Source organism: Homo sapiens, chromosome 6, assembly GCF_000001405.40.
Source record: "Homo sapiens chromosome 6, GRCh38.p14 Primary Assembly".
NCBI lineage: Eukaryota > Metazoa > Chordata > Mammalia > Primates > Hominidae > Homo > Homo sapiens.
Genome location: NC_000006.12, coordinates 131,898,235 through 131,925,975, shown reverse-complemented (window position 1 = coordinate 131,925,975; position 27,741 = coordinate 131,898,235). Strand labels below are relative to the sequence as shown.

General features: G+C 41.4%; 1 long non-coding RNA gene across 4 annotated transcripts in view, besides 5 other annotated features; it reads right to left on the bottom strand.

Annotated features, from left to right (window-relative positions):
- The window catches only part of CCN2-AS1 (CCN2 antisense RNA 1), a 200,374-nt gene extending 176,350 nt beyond the window's left edge, over positions 1–24,024 (bottom strand). For 2 of the 4 annotated variants that reach the window (NR_187594.1, NR_187596.1), the window contains exons 1-2: positions 23,825–24,024; positions 21,742–22,029 (exon numbers count right to left, since the gene is read on the bottom strand). This is a non-coding gene — a long non-coding RNA (CCN2 antisense RNA 1). Of the gene's footprint in view, positions 1–1,905; positions 2,033–15,020; positions 15,192–21,741; positions 22,030–23,824 lie in introns of all 4 variants that reach the window. The other 2 variants (NR_187593.1, NR_187595.1) reach the window with 2 other exon arrangements.
- Positions 15,713–16,007: a silencer, noted in NCBI's record as "tiled region #1543; HepG2 Repressive DNase unmatched - State 12:CtcfO". NCBI's record gives its function as "represses a minimal TATA promoter and a strong SV40 promoter by Sharpr-MPRA in HepG2 cells {active_cell/tissue: HepG2}" and the evidence as "EXISTENCE:reporter gene assay evidence [ECO:0000049][PMID:27701403]".
- Positions 18,044–18,570: an enhancer, noted in NCBI's record as "OCT4-NANOG-H3K27ac hESC enhancer chr6:132228546-132229072 (GRCh37/hg19 assembly coordinates)". NCBI's record gives its function as "activates a minimal SCP1, AML or CMV promoter by ChIP-STARR-seq in naive H9 embryonic stem cells {active_cell/tissue: H9 hESC(naive)}" and the evidence as "EXISTENCE:reporter gene assay evidence [ECO:0000049][PMID:30033119]".
- Positions 18,571–19,097: an enhancer, noted in NCBI's record as "OCT4-NANOG-H3K27ac hESC enhancer chr6:132228019-132228545 (GRCh37/hg19 assembly coordinates)". NCBI's record gives its function as "activates a minimal SCP1, AML or CMV promoter by ChIP-STARR-seq in naive and primed H9 embryonic stem cells {active_cell/tissue: H9 hESC(naive and primed)}" and the evidence as "EXISTENCE:reporter gene assay evidence [ECO:0000049][PMID:30033119]".
- Positions 23,548–24,100: an enhancer, noted in NCBI's record as "OCT4-NANOG-H3K27ac-H3K4me1 hESC enhancer chr6:132223016-132223568 (GRCh37/hg19 assembly coordinates)". NCBI's record gives its function as "activates a minimal SCP1, AML or CMV promoter by ChIP-STARR-seq in primed H9 embryonic stem cells {active_cell/tissue: H9 hESC(primed)}" and the evidence as "EXISTENCE:reporter gene assay evidence [ECO:0000049][PMID:30033119]".
- Positions 24,101–24,654: an enhancer, noted in NCBI's record as "OCT4-NANOG-H3K27ac hESC enhancer chr6:132222462-132223015 (GRCh37/hg19 assembly coordinates)". NCBI's record gives its function as "activates a minimal SCP1, AML or CMV promoter by ChIP-STARR-seq in naive and primed H9 embryonic stem cells {active_cell/tissue: H9 hESC(naive and primed)}" and the evidence as "EXISTENCE:reporter gene assay evidence [ECO:0000049][PMID:30033119]".

The window sequence follows — 27,741 nt, the reverse complement described above, 5'->3', positions numbered from 1 at the left end:
ACTATATAGTTGACAAACCATACAGCACCCACAGACTGCCTCTAAGCAACCAATACAAAACAGATTGATGAGACTTGCTGTACTTAAAGTCTTGTAAGAGAACAGGGAGTAATAAAGTCTCAAAATAGATTCTCTAATAAGAAAATTTTTCCTTAAATGTCAACTTTTGAATTTCAGCTCAACTATAGCAAATCTGTACTCCTCATACTTAAAGAATAATTATTCTTAGATGGAAATATACTGTATTTGATATATTGAATATACTGGCACAAAAAGGCTAAATTATTTCACAAGTTTTCAGATCCCAAAGGAATAGTTAATGGCACCAATACTCCTTGCACACTAAAAATTGTCTAGAGACAATATTCATCATCAACACTACTTCTCAGAGATGCAACATGGTTTTGGGAAAAAATTAGAGGTTTCTAGTGTTTCAACAACCTGCATTTAAATCCTGGATTCACATTTACCAGTTGTGTGATCTTAGAATGTAATTTAACCTTCCTAAACCTTTCCCCATCTTAAAAGGAAGCAGTAATAAATGCACTGTATGTCAACGTAAATATCAACATTTAGTATTTCATTCATTGGATCCTTTGAAGCATTTATTTTGTGCTAGGTACATAGTAGCTCATATATAAGTGCTAAGTAAAATTCTTTCTCTTTTCTTTTCCCCTTTATGTTACTTAAACATCTAACCCAGCTACACTGGAGAACACACAGGTAAAAGAGCAGAGATAGGAAGAAAATAAAAATAAAACATGACACCCTGCCATAAAAGACTAATAGGATTATATACAGTTTGGGTTTTTTTCCCCCTCATTTCGCTTGCCCCTAATGATTTTGTTTCAAAAGACATTGCAATGGAAGTCCACTGCAATAGAGTCATTTGCTCTTTCTTTTGTATTACACTGACATCGTGTGGCCATCTGAAGACGTCTCTAGAAATTGACAACTGTCATTCCCAGATTTTTAACCTTCAGCTGCAGAGATGCCATATGAGTAGTTGAATCTCTACATTTAAGAACCAAATGACAAAACAAGTCCCTTTTGGAGGCTTTAAACATATTATATACATAGATAATTCTAAGAATTCAGATTAGCTGAATAATTTGACATATTATTCTGTTATGGTTTAGATAGTTAATAAAATATTTATTTTTTGTTTGTTTTAGGGAGAAAGGTCTCATCCTGCCACCCAGACTGGAGTGCAATAGCATGATCATAGGTCACCACAGCACCAAATTTCTGGGCTTAAGCTATCCTCCTGCCTCAGCCTCTGAACTAGCTAGGACTACAGTCACATACCATCATGCCTGGCTAATTTTTTTTTTTTTTTTTGGTTGAGACAGGGTCTTGCTATGTTGCCCTGGACTGGTCTCAAACTCCTGGCCTCAAGCAATCCTCAAGCCTCAGCCTCCCAAAGTGCTGGGATTATAGATGCGAGCCACTGTTGTCAGTCCATTAGTCTTGATTTACACTTTAGTAATTTTCTTTTGTGATTTGGAGACAAAACTTTACAAACATTTTTGTAGGCCTTTAAAACTTTATATCCATAAGCACTGTATCTGGAGCACCTAATAGATGAAATATTGTTTTATGACAGGGCTTCCCAAGTCATCAGAATCCTTGGCATAGGATTTGTTAAAACAAAGATTGGTGGTCTCCATCCTCAGAGTTTTTGACTCTGTAGGTCTGAGGTGGGATCTGAAAATTTGCATTTCTAACAAATTTCCTGGTGATGCTGATACTCCTGGTCCCAGCACTACATTTGAGAACCACTGGTGTTGTGTTTGCAACTGCTAGGATTCAGAGCAGACCATGAGTGAGGTGAATTCCACTTAGAGGAGCAAGGGTATGTGCAGCTGTATAGAAGATATTTGATTTTTACCTCAAACTGCTTACCATGTGGCAAGAGGTACTGTCCGAAAGACATGGTGGTGCTGCAGTGGGCAGTGGAGTTCCAGTTTTTCTATTAATTTGTAGAAATCCCCTGGGAAGGTCATTGCCTCTCTCTGGGGTTCGGTGCTGCCTGCACAGAGTGAGTTTTGAGGATCAAAAAATTATGAGATAGCAGGGCACTGTATCCATGAGAGTTAATACTTTATCAGTATTAAGTGAGAAATCAAAATAATGTGGAAGCATAATATTCTTTATATGCAGTCTAAACACTAATGCAATGCAAGAGAGCAGGAAAACCTAAGTGAGAAAGAAGTGGTTTGGCACACCATTAGCTAAGGCTAAAAAGGCCCTCAGGACCAGCTACTCTCCCATAGCTTCAGAATACAATTGCTAAAAACCTGGAGTGAACTGAAGACTGTAACCTTATTTTACAAATGAGAGTACCAGCACGGATGAAATTGCAGTTGCAAACTGGCCTCTGAACCTAGCAAGACCCATGTCCAACAGCGACACCTTGTGGCAATGACTTAGATAGCTGCACTGAGGGACAGCTGACTCCAATGCTCTCTGTCTGGGGCTTGGAAGAGGACCAACTCCCTTTATATTGAATAATCCTGAGGAATTCTTCAATAATTTGGGGGAGAAAGTAAGACCTCAAAAGAGAGACACTGGATTCTTGCATAAAGAATAAAATCCAGGCATCTGGATTTTTTTAAATTACACAGAAAAATTGTGACCAGATTTGTATATTAAAAATCAGTAATATGGGTCATGTGTGTAATATAATATTTGTTTCTGCTGTGGGAGAGTCAAGCAGGACTCAGTCTTCTGTATCTAGATCTGTAAAGGGCTCCAATAATGAGAGAAGGAGCAGCTGTCACTGGTCCTACTCTGTTGTTAAATATATCTATGGGTGCTAAGGACTACTTGAATGAATAACCTCAGGTGTTAAGAATTTGCTAGATGGATTTATGTTTCTGAGCTGTAGATAAACTGAACATTCTCCCACTACAAACCTAGAAATTGTGGGTAAAATATAGCCAACATTATTTTAAATGCATTGTTGAGCTCTCAAGAAAAAAGAGGAATTCTACAGGGCCTTCAAATAATAATAAATTTAAAACTATGAGTGCCAAATAACACGGAGGCCACCTTGGAAGGGAGGAGAGTTTCCAGTCCCAGTAACCAAAAGTCTGCAGTTTTAGCACCCATATGAGCACAGAATGTAAAACGCTGAACCCAGCTGATGAAGCTGAAACTACAACCATCACCCCATGACCATCCCCCAATAAAGCCAGAACACTTACTGAACCAAAACTTCATTGAAGGGGTGGGTTAGAAAAAATCCACTCACTAGCACAAGGAGAAACAGTTTGATCTGTTTGGATAGGAAAACAATTTTCCTCACCATTTATATCTGTGAGTCTTCCCATAAAACTCCTTGAGGTTTGAAACAGTACTACCTATATGGTCTGAGAACCCCCAAGCCAGGAGATTAATAGTTAGTCCCAATATACAAATATCTCGGGTATCTGACTGAAGCAAACTGGAAACCTCTTCAGAGGGGCATAGTTCCAAGTCAGGTTGTAGAGGATTTCTACAGATGAAGTCTAAGATGAGTTCGCAATTCAAAATTACAAAACATAATTTAAAATGATCATCCATGAGAGAATGTTGGGATACAAAAGCAAGAATAATAGACCACAACCCACAAGTTAACAGAAAGGAGGAGCAGAACATCAGTTAGGGATGGGGATGGGATAAGGAATAGGTCTCCACTCCATGCAAGTGGAAATGACTGCTAGTGGCTCTCCTGAGCTCTGTGTTGAGAATGTTCTGAGGCCATGTCCAGGCTCCATGGGAAAGCTTCATTGTCATATTTAGTGTTCTCTTCCTATTAGAAAAGTGTGTTTATTTTTCTCTCTTTCTTTGTCAATCTTCTCAGACAAATGAAAACAATTTACTTTACCCAAAGCACTAAAAAGAAAAAAAAAATCGACACACATATTTATCTATTTGTCTTCCCTCCCTGCCCTCACCAGCACCTGTGACTGTTCTTGACACATAGAAGGCGCTCACCTGATTTTTAATTTTTATGGGTACATAGTAGGTGTATATATTGATGAGGTACATGAGATGTTTTGGTACAGGCATTCAATGGTAACTAAGTGCAGAATGGAGAATGGGTTATCCATCCCCTTAAGCATTTATCTATTGAGTTACAAATCATCCAATTACACTCTTTAAGCTATTTTAAAACATACAATTAAGTTATTATTGACTATAGTTACCCTATTATGCTATCATATAGTAGGTCTTATTCATTCTTTCTATTTTTTGTACCCATTAACCATCTCCACCTCCCCGCCAGCCCCCCACTACCATTCCCAGCCTCTGCTAGCCATTCTTCTACTCTCTATGTTCATTAGTTCAATTGTTTTGATTTTTAGATCCCACAAATAAATGAAAACATGCAATGTTTGTCTTTCTGTGCCTGACTTATTTCATATAATATAATGATCTCCAGTTTCATTCATGTTGTTTCAAACAACTGGATCTCATTCTTTTTTATGGCTAAATAGTATTCCCTCATGTATCTGTACCATATTTTCTTTATCCATTCATCTGTTGATGGACACTTAGGTTGCTCTCAAATCTTAGCTATTGTAAACAGTGCTGCAACAAACATAGGCATGCAAATATCTCAATATACTGATTTCCTTTCTTTTGCATATATATATCCAGCAAAAGTGGGATTGCTGGATCATATGGTAACTCAATTTCTAGATTTTTGAGGAAACTGCAATCTGTTCTCCACACTGTTTGCACTAATTTACATTCCCATCAACAGTATACAAGGGTTCCCTTTTCTCTACGTCACCACCAGCATTTTTTATTGCCTGTCTTTTAGATATAGGCCATTTTAACTGGGGTGACATGATATCTGATTATAGTTTTGACTTGTATTTATCTGATGATCAATGTTGAGCACATTTTCATATGCATGTTTGCCATTTATATGTCTTTTTATAACTTTTATTTTAAGTCCGGGGTACATGTGTAGGTTTGTTACATTGGTAAACTTGTGTTATGGGGATTTATTGTATAGATTGTTTAGTCACTCAAGTATTAAACCTAGTACCCATTAGCTATTATTCCTGATGCTCTCCCTCCTCCTATCCCCTACACTTCGACAGGCCCCAGTAAATGTTGTTCCTTCACATGTGTCCATGTGTTCCCATCACTTATAAGTAAGAACATGCAGTATTTGGTTTTCTGTTCCTGCCTTTGTTTGCTAAGGGTATTGGCCTCCAGTTCCATCCACGTACCTGAAAAGGATGTGGATGGAAAAAAATGATCTCATTTTTTTTTATGGCTGTGAAATACCATAGTATTCCATGGTGTATATGCACCACATTTTCTTTATCCAGTCTATCATTGATGGGTATTTAGATTGATATGTCTTTGCTATTATAAATAGTGCTGCAATGAACATACAAGTGCAGGTGTCTTTATAATTGAACAATTTATTTTTCTTTGGGTATATACCCAGTAGTAGCATTGCTAGGTAGAATTATATTTCTGTTTTCAGATCTTTGAGGAATCACCACACTGTCAACCACAATGATTGAACTAATTTATACTCCCACCAACAGTGCATAAGCATTGCCTTTTCTCCACAACCTTGCCAGCATCTGTTATTTTTTGACTTTTTAATAACAGCCATCAGCCATTCTGACTAGTGTGAGATGGTATCTCATTGTGGTTTTGATTTGCATTTCTCTAATGATTGGTGGTGTTGAGCCTTTTTCATGTTTGTTGGCTGCATGTATGTCTTCTTTTGAAAAGTGTCTGTTCATATGCTTTGCCCACTTTTTAATGGGGTTGTTTTTGGAAATTTGTTTAAGTTTCTTATAGATGCTGAATATTAGATCTTTGTTGGATGTATAGTTTGCAGATACTGTCATTCTGTAGGTTGTCTGTTCACTCTGTTTGTATTTTCTTTGCTGTGCAGGAGCTCTTTAGTTTTATTTAGAACCCACTTTTCAATTTTTGCTTTTGTTTCAATTGCTTTTGGTGTCTTTGTCATGAAATTTTTGCCTGTTCCTATATCCAAGATGGTATTGCCTAGGTTGTCTTCTATTGTTGTTATAGTTTTGGGTTTTACATTTAAGTCTTTCATCCATTTTGAGTTGATTTTTGTGTACAGTATAAGGAAGGGGTCCAGTTTTAATCTTCAGCATATGGCTAGCCAGTTATTCCAGCATCATTTAATGAATACAGAATCATTTCCCTATTGCTTGTTTTTATCAGGTTTGTCGAAGATCAGATAGTTGTAGGTGTGTGAAATAGAGAACCATTTCTGGGTTCTCTATTCTGTTTCATTGGTCTATGTGTCTGTTTTTGTACCAGTACCACGCTGTTTTGGTTACTGTAGTCCTGTAGTATAGTTTGAAGTTGGGTAGCATGATGCTTCCAGCTTTGTTCTTTTTGCTTAGGATTTCCTTGGCTATTCAGGCTCTTTTTTGGTTCCATATGAACTTTAAAATAGTTTTCTCTAGTTTTGTGAAGAATATCAATGGTAGTTTAATAGGAATAGCATTGAATCTATAAATTGCTTTGGGCAGTATGGCCATTTTTATGATATTGATTCTTCCTATCCATGAGCATTGCATGCTCTTCCATTTGCTTGTATCATATTTGATTATTTTGAGCAGTGTTTCATAGTTCTCCTCGTAGAGATCTTTCACCTCTATGCTGAAGACTGGGTGCAGGCTCCTGTTGGATGTGGTGTTGGCTTGGGGGCAGGGCACTGGCGTGAGCAGGTCTGGACACCTTCTCTGTGCCCCACAAGCAGGAGTGATCACTCAGGGTGCGAGCAGGGTCCACTGTTCTCTGCACAGTGTTAGCACAAGGGCCAGGTGTTGAGGTGGGCGTTGCGGGGGAGCTGGCTTGCTCTGTGCCCACCAAGGCTCTGTCTTCAATGACAGCCAGACGGGGCAGGGGGGCAGACTACACTCCCATGCACTGGCAGGGCAAGGAAGGCAAAACCTACCTGTGCAGACTTGTGCCAGCAAAGACACGTGAGGAGTTTCCTGGGCCTAGGGAAGCTGCAGTGTGGGGAGGGGGTGGATGGGCTGGTGTGTGGCCTAGGGGCAGCCTTGCTGGAGCTCTCCACCAGTCAGATACTATCTGCCAGCACAGAAGCTATGGCGTGGCCTCCAGGGCACCCAAGACTGCCCTGCAAGCAGGTCTGGCCAGGCTGGGACCCCAGAAAGGCCAGCAGACCAAGGGGTGCTCAGGTCGAATCAGCCCTGTCTGATGGACAAGACCACCCTGCAGAGATCAGGATGGACAGTTCCCCTAGGGCTAAAGTCTCCTATGGGAGCAAGTCAGGCCTGGGGAGATGGCTCTCCCTGGCTGTGCTCCACTGCAGGTGCTCCCACATCAAATCGTCCTGGCTCCACATCAGCTTGCTTGCCCTCCCACGACTTCTCTAAGGAGCTCTTCTTGCCAACTTGAGTGTCCATGGTGATCAAGGGATCTTCTCTTGCCGGGGTTCCAGAGGCCCGTGGAGAGAGCAGGTTGCTCCTTGCCAGTTCAAGTCACCCATTCTCCTGGAGCTGTTGTGGTCCAAAAATCAGTCCCAGTGAGCAGTATCCCCAGGCAGTGTTCCCAGGTTTCTTCCCCTCCAGCCCAGCTTCTGTGTCTTCCCTCCATCCACTCTCAGTGCCTTGCCTCTGAGGATCTGTTAGAAGCATGCCAGTTATCTGGGTCCCTCTGTGGGAGCTGTTCCACCTGGCTGTGTCTATTGGGCTATGTCTAGCCAGCTATATTGCATTCCCCCACTTGCCCCCATATCTGTATGTCTTCTTTTGAGAAATGTCTATTTAGATCCTTTGCCCTGTATTTTAATCAAATTATTAGATTTTTTCCTATAGAGTTGTTTGAGCTCCTTATATATTCTGGTTATTAATCCCTTGCCAGATGGTGTTTGGTAGATCAGCTTTCATGAAACAAACCTTCTCTTCCTCTTTGCTAAGCTACCTGTCTTCCTGAAATCCTCGGCCTGAGTAGTGACACCAGCTGGTTAGAGGCATCAAAGGCAGCAATCAGCCCTCAGAGGACAGTCCCAGTGGGGCACAGGAAGTCAGCTAATGAAAGGGCTGGCCACCGAACCTCCTCATATGCCACTTAAAAGCCACTATTTTTACTCTTTGCAAGATATTTTCCACTTCAAAGCTGCTGCCTTTCCCCCCTTGATATACCCTTACTTCCCAATTAAATTTTCAGGCATGCTTTCTTCCAGTTTCAAGCCAAAATTCCTTCTGAAAAGCCATCTCTCCAAACATGGTTTTATGAGGAAAGCTAACAGACCTGAACTGTGGGGTGTTGAGGGCACCTTTGATATGGCCCAGAGCACAGACAGCCCTGTCTCCTCCAGGGTGCACTGCTAAACAGACAACTACTTTAAATAGACAGAACTCCACCTCTGCCAGCCTTGCCCTCCTCCCTTTCACAAGCCACATCCGAAATCTCTATCATCCACACTCCTCTGTTTGGCCTGGACAACAGAGTGACTTTGACAAGGCTCTCAGAATATTCTTCATGAACGCCAGCATTCCTCTTTGTGGTCTGGTTAACCACAGTAGATGAGTTTAGTTTCCCCTTTTCACAGAATTTTAGAAGTTGGTGGACAGATGCAAGACTGTAGAGATCTGATTACTTAGAGTGGCAGAATCAGAAGGAAAAGGAGAAAACAGCTTCACAGAGAAAATGGCATTTGAGCAAGACCCTAAAGGAAACGTGAAAGGCCGCCCATGAGGAGGGAAGAGTACACACAAAGATGGAGAGAGAAGATGTGAGGTGGATATGGGGCAAACCAAGGGCGACAGCTTGAGAAAAATCTAGCAAATACCATGAAGATGAATAATTAAAAGGTAATGTTAATAGGCTGGTTGGGGTCAGATCATGGAACAAAAAAGAATTGGAAAGTTATTCTGTGGTAAAAACAGAAACCACAACCATTTAATGAGCATCTATCTACCATGTGCCAAAATCTACCATAGCCACTGAGGTTACCATGAAGTCTCAGACACGGGCCTCAAAGTCCCCTCTAGGAACACAGAGGCTAATGTCTAGCCACCAGGTTCTTGTGAAACACATGTTATAAAATAAGAGTATTTTACCCTGTGACAGAAACAAAGTGCTTTAGGAAACCAGAGGCAAGGGAAGAAGAGGTGATGGTGGGAGAGTGGCCAAGTTCAGTGTCACTGCAGAGGAAGAACAGTTTGGACTGAGCTTTGTGAAGTGAGATAATGAGAGGTTTGGGGATTGATGGTGTATTAGTCTCTTTTCACATTGCTATAAATAACTACCTGAGACTGGGTAATTTATGAAGAAAAGAGGTTTAATTGACTCACAGTTCCACAGACTTAACAGGAAACATGACTGAGAGGCCTCAGGAAACTTACTGTATTAGTCTGTTTTCACACTGCTAATAAAGACATACCCAAGATTGGGCAATTTATAAAGAAAGGAGGTTTAATTGGCTTAGAGTTCCATGTGGCTGGGGAGGCCTCACAATCATGGCAGAAGGCAAAAAACACATCTTACATGGTGGTAGACAAGAGAGAATGAGAGCCAATCAAAAGTGGAAACCCCTTATAAAATCATCAGATCTCATGAGGCTTATTCACTACCTCAAGAACAGTAAGGAGGAAACCGCCCCATGATTCAGCTATCTCCCACTGGGTCCCTCCCACAACTTGTGGGAATTATGGGAGCTACAATTCAAGATGAGATTTGGGTGAGGACACAGTCAAACCTAATCACTTACAGTCATGGCGGAAGGTGAAGGGGAAGCAAGCACCTCTTCACATGGTGGCATGAGAGAGAGAGCTAAGGGGGAAGTGCCACACACTTTTAAATCATCAGATCTCATGAGAACTCACTCAGTATGATGAGAACAGCAAGGGGGAAATCCACCCCATGCTCCAAGTACCTCCCAACAGGCCCCTCCTCCAAATCGACATGAGATTTGGGCAGGGACACAAATCCAAACCGTATCAGATGGGATATATAGGCAGGAAAAGAGATGTTGTTCAGGGAGAAAGCAAGTGTGCTTAGATCAGTGTAATATTAATAAATATTGAATAAACAGCTGGAGGTGAGGGGAGATCTTTGTTAGTAGAATTACACGACTTCTATTGTAAATGCTTCCATTGTGGATACTTTCAAACTACCAATGTGAAGTTAACCAGCTTGCAAAACCTCTGACAATTTATCAATGGACTCTTCTAAGTAGGTGAAGGCTGGCCCCTGCACACCACTGCTTGGTTTGAATATGCTGAATTCGAGGTGACTAGTAAGAATTACAGGTCTGTTGATCCACTGAGAAGCTGAGCCAAAGCAGGGTCTTCAAAGACTCAATGGTCTGCTGTATTTGGGGAAGATGGCACTGAGTAGGTAGCCTCCAGGTCTTATGCCCCTATTCAACTGAAGCAGCTCTGCTGTAAAATCTGTTTACGCTCAAACAGTATGCACCGCTTCACCATTTTAGAGGCACCCAATAAAACAGTATTACAGTTGATATCTAAATTGAAAGCTAAATTCAGATTCGCAGAATGTTGAAGAGTTAATCCTTCCAAGTAGCCCTGAGTATACTCCAAAGTCTCTTACGCTGATGCTTGTTACCATATGTCTCGTAATCGCTTACTGCCACCTGCTGGGCAAAGAGATGTAGCACTCAAGGACAAATTGTATCTCAAGAACAAATTTAACCCTAAGCAGCTGTAACATCCAGTTCTTGGTCCTCCGGTGTCACTACAGTTGTTAAGACAGAAGCTGTTAAAAAATGACAGTCTAGGCAGTTCAGAGAAATGTCCCCAGTGGCAGCTGCAGCCATCGCCAGTCATTCTGAGAGCTTTCACGTGACTGGTGAAGGTCCCATTGATTGGCCCAGACTTCAGTGACCCCTGAGGTACAAGGGAAGGCATTTCTCCCCATATGATGCTCCTCTCAGTGTTCAAAGATCCCAATGGATACTCCAACACCCAAGCCAACATCTTGATTCCCCCAAAATTCCCATGGCATCTGCATATCTAGTTCATGGGCACTCCTTACTTACATCAAATATCCCTAACATTTCCTAAACTAAAAATATCCAAGGATGATACTTCACTGAGCTCTAATATTTAAAAGACTTTGCATTGTCTATTATACAAAAACATAATTACAAGAGCTAAATATAGTTGCTGACTTACTTTTCTTACTTCACAAGGAAAGAGGACTTCATTATGAGAAGAAAGAAAAAACACTCAAAAGAAGGCACAAAAGATATTTTAAAGTTATTGATGGGCTAATTATTAATGTGATCACCACTTTTCATATGATAACAACAAGGTGAAATTTACAGTTATTTATGAATATGCTAATATGGGTATTAAAAATTTTTACCAGGAGTGAAAATTTTTCTTTGTATTATTTATTATTTTTTCTAGGTGTGTGTGTGTTTTAATAACTACTACTTAGCATGACTCTTTTGTGAGTCACCTGCTCAACGTCACATGTGCTATGGTTTAAATGTGTATCCCAAAAGGCATGTATTGGAAACTTAATCCCTAATGCAACAGTGTTAAGAGGTGAGACCATTAAAGAGGTAGTTAGGCCAGGAGGGCTCCACCTTCAAGAGTGGATCAAGGCCATTATCTAGGGAGTTGGTTTGTTATAAAAGGACAAGGTTAGTTCATTCCTCTCTCACTTGCCCTCTCTTGCCCTTCACCTTCCTCTATGGGATGACATAGCACAAAAGCCCTCATTAGCACTGGCACCATGATATTGGACTTTTCAGCCTCCAGAAATGTGAGCCAATAAAAATTTCTGTTTTTTATTAAAAATTAAAATAAAATAACTACTATTTAATACAAAAATGGAAACTTCGTAAACATAACAACTAACATTCTGATTTAACTTGATTGAGAAAAATTAAATAAAGTGGAGTTTCTTGAGCCTTAGAGTGGTGGACAAATTCAGATGTTACATTTGTTTCTAAAAACAGAGCATACTAATATCAACCCCCCCTTCCCAAAAAAATACCCTACAGCTAACATCATTCTTCACGACGAAAGACAATACGTTCTTGCTAGAATCAGGAACAAGGCGAAAATGTCCACTTACCACCGCTTTTCAGCATGGTATTAGAAGTTCTAGCCAGTGCAATAAAGCAAGGAAAGGAAATAAAAGGTATGCATATTGGAAAGAGAAAAATAAAACTGTCCCTTTTTGTAGAGAGCATGATTGTCTATCTACAAAAGTCCCAAGGAATCCACCAAAACACCCTCCTAGAACAAAAACTAATTGTATTTCTACATACTAGCAATGGAAATGTGGAAGGTAAAATTTTAGATACAGTAGCATTTACAATTGCTAAAAATATTCTTGAGTGTGAATCTAATAAAAACAAGCCAAAAACTACGAAATAGCAATGAAAGAAATCAAAAATCTAAATGAATGGAGAGACATACTGTGGTCATGGATCAGACAACTCAACACTGTTAAGATGTCAGTTCTCCCCAAATTGATACATAAGTTTATTGCAATTACCAGCACAATCCCAGCAAGAAATTTTGTTGATAAGGACAAAGACAAGATTATTCTAAAATTTATATGGTGCTGGGCACAGTGGCTCTTACTTGTAATCCCAACACTTTGGGAGACCAAGCTGGGAGGGTGCTTGAGCCCAGGAGTTCAAGACTAGCCTTGGCAAAGTAGGAAGACCCTGTTTGTTTGTTTGTTTGTTTGTTTGTTTGTTTGTTTGTTTGTTTAGAGACGGAGTCTCAATGTCTCCCAGGCTGGAGTGCAGTGGCGCCATCTCGGCTTGCTGCAACCTCCCACCTCCCGAGTTCAAGCAATTCTCCTGCCTCAGCCTCCCGAGTAGCTGGGACTACAGGTGCATGCCGCCATGCTCTACTAATTTTTTGTATTTTAGTAGAAACGGGGTTTCACCATGTTGCCCAGGCTGGTCTTGAATTCCTGAGTTCAGAAAATCCGCCCGCCTTGGCCTCCCAAATTGCTAGGATTACAGGGAACTGCGCCCGGAGTAAGACCCTGTTTCTAAGAATTAAAAAAAAAAAAAAAAAATTAGCCGGGTGTGGTGGTCCACACCTGTGGTCCCAGTCACTCAGGAGACTGAGACAGGAGAATCTCCTGATCCTGGGAGGCTGAGGCTGCACTGAACAGTGATCATGCCACCGCAGTCCAGCCTGGGTGATAGAGTGAGAACTTGTTTCAAAAATAAAATAAGATAAAATGTATATGGAAAGGCAAAGGAACTAGAATAGCTAAAAACAATTTTGAAAAAGATGAATCAAGTGGGAAGACTCACTCTACCCAATTTCAAGACTTACTTTGCCGACACAGTAAACAGGTTACATGGTACTGATGGAGGGACAGTGACATAAATCAATAGAACAGGATAAAGAACCCAGAAGTACACCTAAGAAAATACACTGAACTGAGTCTTAACAAAGGTCAAAAAGCATTGCAATGGAGGAAAGATAGCCTTTTCAATATACGGTCCTGCAGCTATTGTATATTCATAAGTAAAAATGTGAACCTTGACCTAAATCTCACACATTATATAAAAATTAACTCAAATTTTTGAATCATAGATTTTAAAGTAAAATGTAAACTATAAAACTTTAGAAGAAATCATAGACAAACATTTTCAGGACCTGGGGTTTGACGAAGAGTTCTTAGACATGACACCAAAAGCATGCTTCATAAAAGAAAAAAAAAATGATAAATTAAACTTCATCCAAATTAAAAGTGTTTGTCCTGCAGAAGACCCAGTAAAGATGTGAAAATACAAGCCGCAGACTAAGAGGAAATATTTGCAAACCACATATCTGATAAAGGAGTCATGTCTAGAATTCATAAACACTCTCAATCTGCAACAGTAAAAAGTTAAACTATTCACTTAGAAAATGGCAAAAGACGTGATGAAGTATTTCACCAGAAAGCATACATAAATGTCAAATAAGCACATGAAAACATATGCAACACCTAATCCAATTGTGAAATGCAAATTAGGATCACTATGAGCTATCACTGCATGCCTATTAAATCAAATCAATGAAAAATAATGACAATAATGAAAAATAATGCCTGTAAGAATATGGAAACACTAGATGTTTCACACATCGCGGGTGGTGATGTTAAGTGTTATGGCCACTCTGAAAAACTGTTTGGCAGTTTCTCAAAAAGAAATAAACATTCACTTACTAATCAACCTAGCAATCATCCTCCTGGACATTTAACTCAGAGAAATGCAACTTTAAGTCCATAAAAGAACCTGCATATAGTTGTTCATAGCAGTGTTATATGTAACAGATAAGAACTGGAAATAACTGAAAATGTCCTACAATAGGTGAGTGATTCAGCAAACTGTGTACCTCCAAACTAGAAATATAACTCGGCAGTAAAAAAGCAATAAACTATTGATACACAGCAACTTGGCTTGATTACAGGAAAGTGCACTAATTGGGGGGAATAAAGCCAATCTCAAAGGGTCACATACTGAATGATTTCATTTATATAACATTGAAGCTACAAGCTATTACAGGTTACAAGCTTAGTTTATTCTCTGCATTAGATTTGCATGATTTACTTCTCTGTGTCTCTTTATTAGATGTCATCTCCAGTGCCAATGTCATCCTTTAATAGATGAACAGTTGCCAGGGTTTAACGATGCTAGAGGGAGGAGGTTAGTAGTATTGTAAAGCGGTAGCCCTGGAAGATCCCTGTGGTAATGAAATAGTTATATATCTTGATTGAAGTGGTGCTTATCAAATCTAAACATATGGTAAAAGGACATAGAATTATGCACATGCTTTTTATCATTGTCAATCAACTCCTTGGTTTTGATGATGTAATCACTGGGGAAACCAGGTAAAGGATACACAGAACCTCTGTACTATCCATCTCTGCAATTTCCTGTGAATTTGTAATTATTTCAAAATGAAAGTCTTTTTTAAAAAAAAATCCAACTCACAAGAATAGAGAGAGGATGCGCTTTGACAATTAATATATTTGTGTGCTATGCATGATCGAATTACCTCTTCTTGGTAAATTCAAAGGGCAGGAAGTCCGGGCGTGGTGGTTCATGCCTGTAATCCCAGCTACTCAGGAGACTGAGGCAGGAGAATCGCTTGAACCCAGGAGCGGGAGGTTTGCAGTGACCCGACGTGCCACTGCACTCCAGCCTGGGCAACAGAGCGAGACTCAGTCTCAAAAAAAAAAAAAAAAAAGAAATAATTAATTTAAAAAAAAGACAGGAATCCAATATATTAATTATACTCCTGCTGAATCTCTTTACTGCTTTCTTTATGCCGTAATTCTTATACTGTAGTACACAGATGGTTTCTATTACACTTACAACTCTTTACTAAATTTGATTTAATGATTTACATGTCTATATCCCTCTATCAGATATCAAACCTGGGTCCACACCAATGTCATCTTTGAAATCCCAGTGTTTGGCACAACAATGCATATTAAGAGTTAAATACAGGTTGGTGAATGAATGAGCTATAGTCAAATAAGTTGTACATTCATTTTAAGAAGTGGAAGAATTGGATTTAATCATTCCACAATGTATACACATATCGAAACTTTACATTGTACACCATAAATATATACAATCTGTCATTTGTCAATTAAAATATTTAAAAGAAATAAATGGAAGAATGTAAAAGTGAATAACTTCAGATAATAGCTATGGGAGTTTGGTGTCTTTCTAGGAAATATTTTGATGAATGAAAGCACCTACATTTTAATGACAAGAGCATCTTACTGAGAACGTTCTCTCTCTAGCTGTCCTGGTTCCTTCCCCAAACTGAACAATTCCAAGACTTGCCAGCAGGGGGAGAGCAACTCTTTAGAGATGGCCTCTAACTATATGCTACTCTGCAGCTGTAGGAGTTTCCTATGTTCAATTTTATCTGATGTATAGAGTTAACAATGTTTCTAAAGTGACAACTGTATTTATTGTTGTTGTTTTTAGTATTGCTGTGAAACATAGTCATAACAAACTTGTAAATTCTCCATCTACAATCAGGATTTACCATTTATGCTGTCAACACGTCCTCTTCTTCCTCCTCATTAAAAAAAAAAAATTGTGGTTAACCACAATTTTTAAAAAACCCACATAACATAAAATTTACCATGTTAAACACTTGTAATTATGTGGTTTAGTGGTGTTAACACATTGTTGTGCAACAGATCCCTAGAAAACAGATCTCTTGTAAAAGTGAAAATCTACACCCATTAAACAACTCTCCATTCTCCCAGCTCCTCGTAAGCACCATTCCACTTTCCATTCTAGAAATTTGAGATCTTTGGATGCCTTATATAAGTGGAATCATACATTGTCTTTCTTGTGAATGGCTGATTTTACTTAGCATAATGTCCTCAAGGTTCATCTATGTTGTAGCATATGTGAGATCTTCCTTCTTTTTTAAGGCTGAATAATATTCCATAAATATCCCACATTTTATGTATTCATTTATCTGTCAATGGCCACTTGGGTTGTCTCCACCCCCTGGCTACTGTGAACAATGCTGTGAACATGGGTATGCATCTACTACGTCCTTTGAAGTATGGAATCAATATGCACACCCAAACGACTTTTGCCCCAATTCTTTTTTTTTTTTTTTTTGAGACAGTTTCACTCTTTTTGCCCAGGCTGGAGTGCAGTGGTGTGATCTTGTCTCACTGCAACCTCCTCCTCCCAAGTTCAAGCGATTCTCCTGCCTAAGCCTCCCAAGTAGTTGGGATTACAGGCATGTGCCACCACACCCGGCTAATTTTGTATTTTTAGTACAGATGGGGTTTCTCCATGTTGGTCAGGCTGGTCTCGAACTCCCAACCTCAGATGATCCACCCACCTCGGCCTCCCAAAGTGCTGGGATTACAGGCAAGAGCCACCATGCCCAGCCTCCAATTCTTTATTTTTTTGAGACAGGGTCTCACTCTGTTGCCCAAACTGGAGTACAGTGGTATGATCATGGCTCACTGCAGCCTCAAACTGCTGGGCTCAAGGGATCCTCCCACCTCAGCCTCCTGAGTAACTGGGACTACAGGTGCACACCACTATGTATGGCTAATTTGCTTTTGTATCTTTTGTAGACATGGAGTCTTGCTTTCGGGCTTAGGCTGTGTCTCAATTATTAACTTCACAAACAACTGATGGAAAGAGGTAAAACTGGACCTATTATTCTCTGAAATGTTAGATTTATGTCAATTGTATTTCACAAAGTGTAGACCACTAGCCTCAGAATTACCTAATGTGTATTTATAAGGAAGAGCTACAGACTGTCGTGAGAGTGATGGGCAGGATTCTACCTGTCAGTAGGGTTTACTGAGTTTTATAGACAGTAATGGTAGAGAACCACAGCCTCAAGCCAAGTTTCCCCAAGCAAACCATAATTAGGTTCATCCAATCAAAGGGAGAGAGGCCAAAGTGGGTTTAAAATGACACATTGTATTATAAGAATGAGCATAGCAGAAGAGTGGCTTATACTCCCTCTTAATTAGAGAAACATCTAAACCTCCTGAAATAAACAGGAGATTCTGAATGTGACAAGCAGAGCCAGAATTGTCTCTGAACTCTGCCCCCCAGCTTTTCAGAACCCTGATTTTTCTCACTAATTCCCTCAAATATGAGGAAAAGCAAATTGACTATATAGGTTTACCTATTCCTTTTCCTGACTACTTTGGGATGGAAATCAGTTGTCTTATTTAGCTAATGCTGCATAACAAATCATATGTCGATTTATTGGCTTTTCACAATTTCCTATTTTTCACGATTCTGTGGCTTGTCTGGGCTCATATAGGTTGTTTTTCTTATGGGCTTTTCTGGGGTCACTTGTGCCGCAGCAGTCATCTGGTAGCTCTATTGGGACTGGAGAGCATAAAATGGCCTTACTCTCTCATATGAGAACTTGGTGCTGGCTGTGAGCCTGGACCTCTCTACTGGATAGTCTCTCATCATTCAAGTAGTTTAACCTGAGCTTTTTTTCATAGTGGTAGGAGCTCCATTTTCGGAACCTAAAGCAGAAGCTGCAAACCTCCTAAGGATGCCTTATAAAATGCAAAATGTCACTTCTGCCACATTCTATTTGCCAAAGCTAGTCCCAAGGCTAGCCTACATTCAGAGGATGTGGAAACAGGCTCTGCCTGTTGATGGGGGAGCAGCAAAGTCACTTTGAAAAGGAGCATGCAGAATGGAAAGATAAAACAATCGCTACAGAAAATGGTAACATGATGGGAAAACTGGTGAAACAAGGAAAGGGAAAACAAGGACAGGTACAGTGGCATGCACCTGTAGTCCCAGCTACTTGGGAGGCTGAAGCAGGAGGATTACTTGAGCACAGGAAAAAAGTAATAGAAAACAGAGTTGACAGAGATGTGTTATCTCCTCGGTAGGTGATAAATAAATGGGCCAAAGTATAAGAGCACTCAACACAGGAATTATTTATACCTCAAATGAAGAGGAACTTCATATGAGACACAATTCCGGAAGAGGAAAACAGCTCAGATACCATGGAAAGTCTGAGGACAACCTCAATCCATCTTTTCTTCTACCCCTAACTTTCATGCACGTCCCTGTGAAGAGACCACCAAACAGGCTTTGTGTGAGCAATAAAGCTTTTAATCACCTGGGTGCAGGCAGGCTGAGTCCGAAAAGAGAGTCAGCGAAGGGAGATAAGGGTGGGGCCGTTTTATAGGATTTGGGTAGGTAAAGGAAAATTACAGTCAAAGGGGGGTTGTTCTCTGGCGGGCAGGAGTGGGGGTCGCAAGGTGCTCAGTGGGGGTGCTTTTTGAGCCAGGATGAGCCAGGAAAAGGACTTTCACAAGGTAATGTCATCACTTCAGGCAAGGACCGGCCATTTACACTTCTTTTGTGGTGGAATGTCATCAGTTAAGGTGGGGCAGGGCATATTCACTTCTTTTGTGATTCTTCAGTTACTTCAGGCCATCTGGGTGTATATGTGCAAATCACAGGGGATGCGATGGCTTGGCTTGGGCTCAGAGGCCTGACATTCCTGCCTTCTTATATTAATAAGAAAAACAAAACAAAATAGTGTTGAAGTGTTGGGGCGGTGAAAATTTTTGGGGGGTGGTATGGAGAGAGAATGGGCGATGTTTCTGAGGGCTGCTTCAAGCGGGATTAGGGGCGGCGTGGGAACCTAGAGTGGGAGAGATTAAGCTGAAGGGAGGTCTTGTGGTAAGGGGTGTTATTGTGGGGTTGTTAGAAGAAACATTTGTCGTGTAGAATGATTGGTGATGGCCTAGATACGGTTTTGGATGAATTGAAAAACTAAATGGAATAACAGAAGGAGAAAAACAGGTATAAAAGGTCTAAGAATTGGGATGACTCAGGATATCTGATTAGAGAGTGCCTAAGGAGATTCAGCATAGTCCTGCCAGCAAAGATTATTTATTTACTTCAAGAGTTAAGAGTGGCAGTTTGGGGATAGCACCAGGAGATATCAGCTGTGATGGCTTGGAAGAATAGTGTAAACAAGAGCAGGGCATGTATGAGTAGTTGAGAACAGTGAATAGGAGTATGACTAGACAGAAGATAGCAGGGATGACAAGTTTTTTTGGGGCACAGTCTAAGTTGGTCTGGTGTCTGGAATGAGACTGGGCCTAATAAAAAGGAGCATCTATACAGGAGCTCAAATGGGCTGTACCCTGTAGCATTCTGAGGACAGGCCTGAATTCTGAGAAGGGAAAGTGGTAAAAGTATTGTCCAGTCCTTTTTAAGTTGGTGGCTGAGCTTGGTGAGGTGTGTTTTTAACAGACCGTTTAGTCCATTCTACTTTTCTTGAAGACGGAGGACCGTAAGGGATATAAAGGTTTCACTGAATACTAAGAGCCTGAAAAGCTGCTTGGCTGATTTGACTAATAAAGGCTGGTCTGTTATCAGACTGTATTGAGGTGGGAAGGCTAAACTGAGGAATTATGTCTGACAGAAGGGAAGAAATGACTGCGGTGGCCTTCTCAGACCCTACAAGAAAGGCCTGTACCTATCCAGTGAAAGTGTCTACCTAGACTAAGAGGTATTTTAGTTATCTGACTCGGGGCATGTTGAGTAAAGCTAATTTGCCAGTCCTGGGTGGGAGCAAATCCTCGAGCTTGATGTGTAGGGAAGGGAGGGGGCCTGAATAATCCCTGAGGAGTAGTAGAATAGCAGATGGAACACTGAGAAGTTATTTCCTTGAGGATAGATTTCCTCGATGGAAAGGAAATGAGAGGTTCTAAGAGGCGGGCTAGTGGCTTGTACTATAGCATAACCTGCTTTTGCTGGTGTGTGGCGATTAGGCCTGGTGGAACCGCCATCAATAAATCAAGCGTGATCAGGGTGAGGAACAGGAAAGAAGGAAATTTGGGGAAATGTGAATGTCAGGTGGATCAGAGAGATACAGTCATGGGGGTCAGGTGTGGTATCAGGAATAATGTGGGAGGCCGGATTGAAGTCTGGGCCAGGAACAATGATAATTGTGGGACTTAACAAAGAGTGAGTACAGCTGAAGGAGCCGGGGAGCAGAAAGTATATGCGTCAGGTATGAGGAAGAAAATAGATTTTGGAAGTTATGAGAACTGTAGAGAGTGAGTTGAGCATAGTTTATGATTTTGAGGGCCTCTAAAATTATTAAAGCAGCAGCAGCCGCTGAACGCAGACATGAGGGCTAGGCTAAAACAGTAAGGTCAAGTTGTTTGGACAGAAAGGCTACAGGGTGCGGTCCTGGCTCTTGTGTAAGAATTCTGACTGCACTAACCATGCCTAGGAAGGAAAGGAGTTGTTGTTTTATAGAAGGTGCTGGGGTTTGAGAGATCAGTCGGACACGATTGGCAGGGAGAGCACATGTGTTTTTATGAGAATTATGCCGAGATAGGTAACAGATGAGGAAGAAATTTGGGCTTGATTGAAGTAATGGGGGCTGTCTGTGAAGCTTTGTGGCAGTACAGCCTAGGTAATTTGCTGGGCTTGATGGGTGTCAGGGTCAGTCCAAGTGAAAGCGAAGAGAGGCTGGGATTAAGGATGCAAAGGAATAGTAAAGAAAGCATGTTTGAGATCTAGAACGGAATAATGGGTTGTAGAGGCAGGTATTGAGAATAGGAGAGTATATGGGTTTGGCACCATAGGGTGGATAGGCAAAACAATTTGGTTGATAAGGCGCAGATCCTGAACTAACTTGTAAGGCTTGTCTGGTTTTAGGACAGGTAAAATGGGGGAATTGTAAGGAGAGTTTATAGGCTTTAAAAGGCCATGCTGTAGCAGGCGAGTGATAACAGGCTTTAATCTTTTTAAAGCGTGCTTCGGGATGGGATATTGGCGTTGAGTGGGGTAAGGGTGATTAGGTTTTAATGAGATGGTAAGGGGTGCATGATTGGTCGCCAAGGAGGGAGTAGAGGTATCTTATACTTGTGGGTTAAGGTGGGGGGATACAAGAGGAGGACGCAAAGGAGGCTTTGGAATGAGAAGAAGAGCGGCAATGAGATATAGCTGTAGTCCAGGAATAGTCAGGGAAGCAGATAATTTAATTAAAGTGTCTCAGCCTAATAAGGGAACTGGGCAGGTGGGGATAACTAAAAAGGAGTGCTTAAAAGAGTATTGTCTAAGTTGGCACCAGAGTTGGGGAGTTTTAAGAGGTTTAGAAGCCTGGCTGTCAATACCCACAACAGTTATGGAGGCAAGGGAAACAGGCCCTTGAAAAGAAGGTAATGTGGAGTGGGTAGCCTCCATATTGATTAAGGGGACAGGCTTACCTTCCACTGTGAGAGTTACCCGAAGCTCGGCATCCGTGATGGTTTAGGGGGCTTCCAAGGCAATCGGGCAGTGTCAGTCTTCAGCCGCTAAGCCAAGAAGATCTGGGAAGGAGTCAGTCAGAGAGCCTTGGGCCAGAGTTCCAGGGGCTCTGGGAGTGGCTGCCAGGTGAGTTGAACAGTCCGATTTCCAGTGGGGTCCCACACAGATGGGACGCGGCTTAGGAGGAATCCCGGGCTGCGGGCATTCCTTGGCCCAGTGGCCAGATTGCCGGCACGTGTAGTAAGCTCCTGTGGGAGGAGGTTCTGGAGGAATGCCTGGCCTCTGCGGTTCAGGCATTTGGAAGTTCTTGTGTGCTGGAGATGTGGCTGGGGTTTGTCTCACCGTGGAGGCAAGGAATTGCAACTTTTTTCTATTATCGTACACCTTGAAGGCGAGGTTAATTAAATCCTGTTGTGAGGTTTGAGGGCCGGAATTTAATTTTTGGAGTTTTATTTAATGTTTTATTAATGTCGGGTAATAAAATGTATTTTGAGAATAAGACGGCCTTTTGACCTTTTAGGGTCTAGGGCTGTAAAGTGTCTCAGGGTTGCTGCCAAACAAGCCATGAACTGGGCTGGATTTTTATATTTGATGAAAAAGAGCCTAAACGCTATCTGATTTGGGATAAAGAAAAAGGAGCATTAACCTTGACTATGCCTTTAGCTCTAGCCACCTTTTTAAGAGTAAATTGCTGGGCAGGAGGGGGAGGGCTAATCACGGAACGAAACTATAAGCCGGACCAGGTGTGAGGAGGGGAGGTGATAAAAAGATTATAGGGTGGAGGAGCGGAGGCTGAGGAAGAATTGGGACCTAGCTCGGCATGATGAGGAGCAGTCTGGGGAGGAAGGGAGAGGTCAGATGGGTCTGTAGAAAAGGAAGATTAGAAAGACTCAGTGACGCTTGGGGTTGGTACTGAGGGGACATGCGGGAGGGAAAGAAGGAAGATTTGGGACGAGTTGCACTGGGCACAGAGACTAGGAAAGGAGTGATGTGTAAAAGAATGCCTGGACATCAGGCACCTCAGACCGTTTGCCTATTTTACGACAAGAATTATTTAGATCTTGCAGCAAGGAAAAATTCAAAGTGCCATTTTCTGGCTATTTGGAACTACTGTCGAGTTTGTATTGGGGTCAAGTGGCATTGCAGAAGAAAATAAGGCATTTAGGTTTTAGGTCAGGTGTGAGTTGAAGAGGTTTTAAGTTTTTGAGAACACAGGCCAAGGGAGTAGAAGGAGGAATAGAGAGTGGAAGTTTGCCCATAGTGAAAGAAGCAAGCCTAGAGAAAAGGAGGGAAGGGGTTCGGGGGATCTTACCTTCCAGAAAAGTGGGAAAAGGGGTTGGGGCACAGAGATAAGAGGTTGGAGCATGGAAATAAGGGATGAGGTACAGAAGGGGTCGGGGCACGGAAATAAGGGATTGGGGTGCAGAGATAAGAGGTCGGGGCGTGGAAATAAGGGATTGGGGTGCAGAGATATAAGAGGTTGGGGCACAGAAATAAGGGATTGGGGCACAGAGATACGAGGCTGGGGTACTTGCCCCTCCTCTAGAAAAGCGGGACTTGCCACTAAGGGTGAAGGAGAAGGGGTTGAGGGGTACTTGCCCCTCCCCCAGAAAAACAGAGAAGGGGTAGAGACAAGGAGAGAAGGGGTTGGGGTACTTGCCCTGTCCCCCAGAAAAGCAGAGAAGGGGTAGGGACAAGGAGAGAAGGGGTTGGGGTACTTGCCCCTTCCCCAGAAAAGCGGGACTTGCCGCTACGGGTGAAGGACCAAGGCAGGCGTCCCTGCGTGGTCTGACACCTTTGAAACGTGGGTGAATAATCAGAGAGGCGCCCCTGCAATGATTAAACACCAAGGGAAGGCTGCCTTCCCAGTCCGTGACCGGCGCCTGAGTTTTGGGTCCACGGATAAAACGTGTCTCCTTTGTCTCTCCCAGAAAATGAAAGGAATTGAAATTAAGAGAAGGGAGAGATTGAAGAGTAGAAAGGAGAAAGTGGTTGAGGGACAGTGAGAGAGGTTGGAGAAGAGAGTAAGAAGAGGCCACTTACCTGATTTAAAATTGGTGAGATGTTCCTTGGGCTGGTCGGTCTGAGGACCTGAGGTTGTAGGTGGATCTTTCTCACGGAGCAAAGAACAGGAAGACAGGGGATTGATCTCCCAAGGGAGGTCCCCCGATCCGAGTCATGGCACCAAATTTCATGCGCGTCCGTGTGAAGAGACCACCAAACAGGCTTTGTGTGAGAGCAGTAAAGCTGTTTATTTCACCTGGGTGCAGGTGGGCTGAGTCCGAAAAGAGAGTCAGCGAAGGGAGATAAGGGTGGGGCCGTTTTATAGGATTTGGGTAAGTAAAGGAAAATTACAGTCAAAGGGGGTTTGTTCTCTGGCGGGCAGGAGTGGGGGGTCACAAGTTGCTCAGTGGGGGAGCTTTTTGAGCCAGGATGAGCCAGGAAAAGGACTTTCACAAGGTAATGTCATCACTTCAGGCAAGGACCGGCCATTTACACTTCTTTTGTGGTGGAATGTCATCACTTAAGGTGGGGCAGGGCATATTCACTTCTTTTGTGATTCTTCAGTTACTTCAGGCCATCTGGGTGTATACGTGCAAGTCACAGCGGATGCAATGGCTTGGCTTGGGCTCAGAGGCCTGACACTAACCTTCCTTTTGGCTTCAGAAAAGTTGATAAGCTACAAAATGTTCCTCCCTGACACTGTAAAGGAAGAAACAAATAACTCAGACACAATTTGGAAGATGGTCACCTATCCATCTCAGAGTAAAATAGAATGTCGATCTTGAATAACATAAAAAGAAATGGCATTAAACTCAGTAAATATGCTATAGGTTTAAAACAATAAAACAAAGAAAGGAAGAGAGGAAACAAGGAAGGATGGAATAAAAGAAGGAAGGAGGGAAGAAAGAAATAGAGGGAGAGAGGAAGGTAGAAAGGAAAGGCTCATTCCACCTGCTCCACTTAGAAGAAAATACAGGTGATAAAATTGAGAATAAACACTGAAAAAATGTTTCATGTTATATAACAGGTTGATAGGAAGGAATACAAATCCAATAAATAAAAAGAAGCTCAAAGAAGAAACAATAAAACAATAGAAAGAGATTTTAAAACAGGGAATAGCAGGTCCCAAAAAATAAAAATATAGAAATAATAAACTAGAAATAGCAGGTAATATAATAAGCATTGATAAAAAATGAAAGCAAGGGGACATATAGGAATGTTTGAGATAATCACAGTGATGAAAAATATTTTTAAAAGAGATTAATGCAATAATCAAGAAGCTAACAAAGAAGGCAGAACGTTAACTGTCATGGGTTGCATGGATGCTTGTTAATTTCTTCCTTATACTTCACAGTATTTTTTTTTAATTTTCAAAATAAAAATAAAATCTGCCATTAGAAAATCTCTATTGTTTTTAAAAGGGAGGTTATGGGAGGTGGGGAGGTGTTAGGAGGCAGTAAGAAACTGACATATAAAAAAGGGACAGCTTAGTAAGGAAATAAAGACAGAAAATATAAACCAAGTACTATTAGTCCTGTCCCACAGTAAAGAGAAGCCTAAGAGAGCCAGAGGCAACAAAAGGAATGGGGTAAAGACAATAGAAAAATGGAAGGACAAGAGCATATTCAAGAAGAGAGATGGAAGCAGTACAGAGGTGGGAATTACAGGTGTGTTTGTGGGGGGGGGCTGTGTGTGTGTGTGATTTGAGAAACAAAGCCTTGTAGGAAGTGAGGCATCAGGTCTGAAAGAAAAAGAGTTACACTTCCTCTATGAGGGACTAGAAAGAATGTCAACAGGTGTGAACTCAAATGCTTGAAAGTGGAAAGGAAGATGATACAAAACAAATGTCTTGTGCAGTGCAGCAGAATTCAAGCCAGAATAACTGGTTTAGAATGCAACTACTGATGGAATAGAACTTAATGAAAGAACAGGAACATTTTCAATGTGCTTTCAGAGGAGACAATATACAGTATTGTTTAAATATATGAACTTTGCCAAGTCCTGGGTTCAAATTCTTGCTTGGATAATGTAAATCATTTAGCACAATGTCTGGAACAAAACCCAGTAAATGATAGCTATGATTATTTTTATATTTGTATTTGATCTATTTCAGAGATGTCTTGGTTATCACAATATTGCTGATTCATTGGGTCTATGAAAATTTATGTTCCATATTTCAGTTTCACTGTCAACTATCCATCAGACACCTGATGGATGGGATAATTTTGTTTACCTCTAATTCACTTCACTACTAACTTAGCCAATGCTAAACTCCATTGCCCTGAATTTCAAAGATAGGAGGGAGGGTGAGAAAATGTCTCTCCTCTTTGGTAAAGTGTGTGAAAGTTGCCCAAAATCTATTTGTTCCAGATGCCCCAGTGTGTTTGCTACTGGGGTAGTAACACCAGTAGCACTGATGTGCTTTTCCTCATAGCAGAAGGTGTTACCTGGAGTTGAGGGATGTGAGAACCAAGAGGCACTACCCTGTGTCTCCACCTTTGCCAGTGAATGTTTATGATAGCTTGTCACTGGAGAAACACTATGTGCTTTGTAGAGAGGTTTTCATTTGAGATGTCAAAACTGAAAAGTTCACGCTTTCCCTTCAGTTCACCAGGCAGCAGACTTTCCACAGGACAGATTAACTGAAACAATTGTGAATGGCTCTTGAAAAGTATTCTTATTCTTTTATTATTATTTTTAAAAATTCTGCTTTGTGCACTGGGAAGAGATCTATAAATAAACTCTTTCAAAAAATTTCCCATTGAAAGTATCTTCTAGCACTTGAAAACTACGGAGGCAAAGAATAATTACTGTGAAATTGTCCTCTGGCTGTATTTCTGTAACTTGTTATTCCTTAGCTGTCTTAAGTGGATGTTTGGTATGACTGTACCTTTGGTTTTCATTCATCTGGACATTTTTTACTGAGCAACTCCGATGTGCCAGACATTATGCTAGAAATAACAGATGGTTTTGGAGACATGACTGATATGGTTTGGATGGTTTTTTCCCCTCCAAATCTCATGTTGAAATGTGATATTCGATGCCAGAGTTGGGCCTGGTGGGAGGTGTTTTGGTCATGGGGGTGGATCCCTCATGAATGGCTCTGTCCTTGTGCTAATGAATTCTCACCTTAAGAGTTCACACAAGACCTAGTGTTTAAAAGAGCCTGACACCTCCTCCCTCTCTCTCTTGCTCCTTCTCTTTCCATGTGACATGCTGGCTCACCCTTTGCCTTCTGCCATGATTGGAAGCTTTCTGGGGCCTCACAAGAAGCCAAGCAGATGCTGGTGCCATGCTTACATAGCCTGCAGAACTGTGAAGCAAATAAACCTCTTTTCTTTTTAGATTACCAAGTTGTGGGTATTCCTGTATGGCAATGCAAACAGACAAACACAATGACGATAAACATATGAAAAGGAAACTATCTTTGTAAGAAATATATGCCAACTTGGTGTGGGTCTGTGTCCCTACCCAACTCTCATGTCAAATTGCAATTCTCACTGTTAGAGGAGGGGCCGGAGGGGAGGTGACTGGATCATGGGGGTAGACTTCCCCTTGTTCTCATGATAATAAGTGAGTTCTTATGAGATCTGGTTTGAAAGTATGTAGCCCATCCCCTTATGCTCTTGCTCTCTCCTGCTGGCCATGTGAATACGTGCTTCCTTCCCCTTCACCTTCTGCCATGATTGTAAGTTTTCTGAGGTCTCTCAAGAAGCAGAAGCCTGTGCAGCCTGCAGAACTGTGGGCCAATTAAACAACCTCTTTTCTTTATAAATTACCCAGTCTCAGGTATATCTTTATAGCAGTGTGAGAATGGACTAATACAGATGCTAAAATGCCGAATGAGAGTTACAGTCACTGAAAAAAACAATCCCACAGTATTGAGCTCTCACCCTGTGAAACTGCCTTTGCAAAGATTATGACAGTGAGAGAAATCTAACGTGGCTGACTCTGTC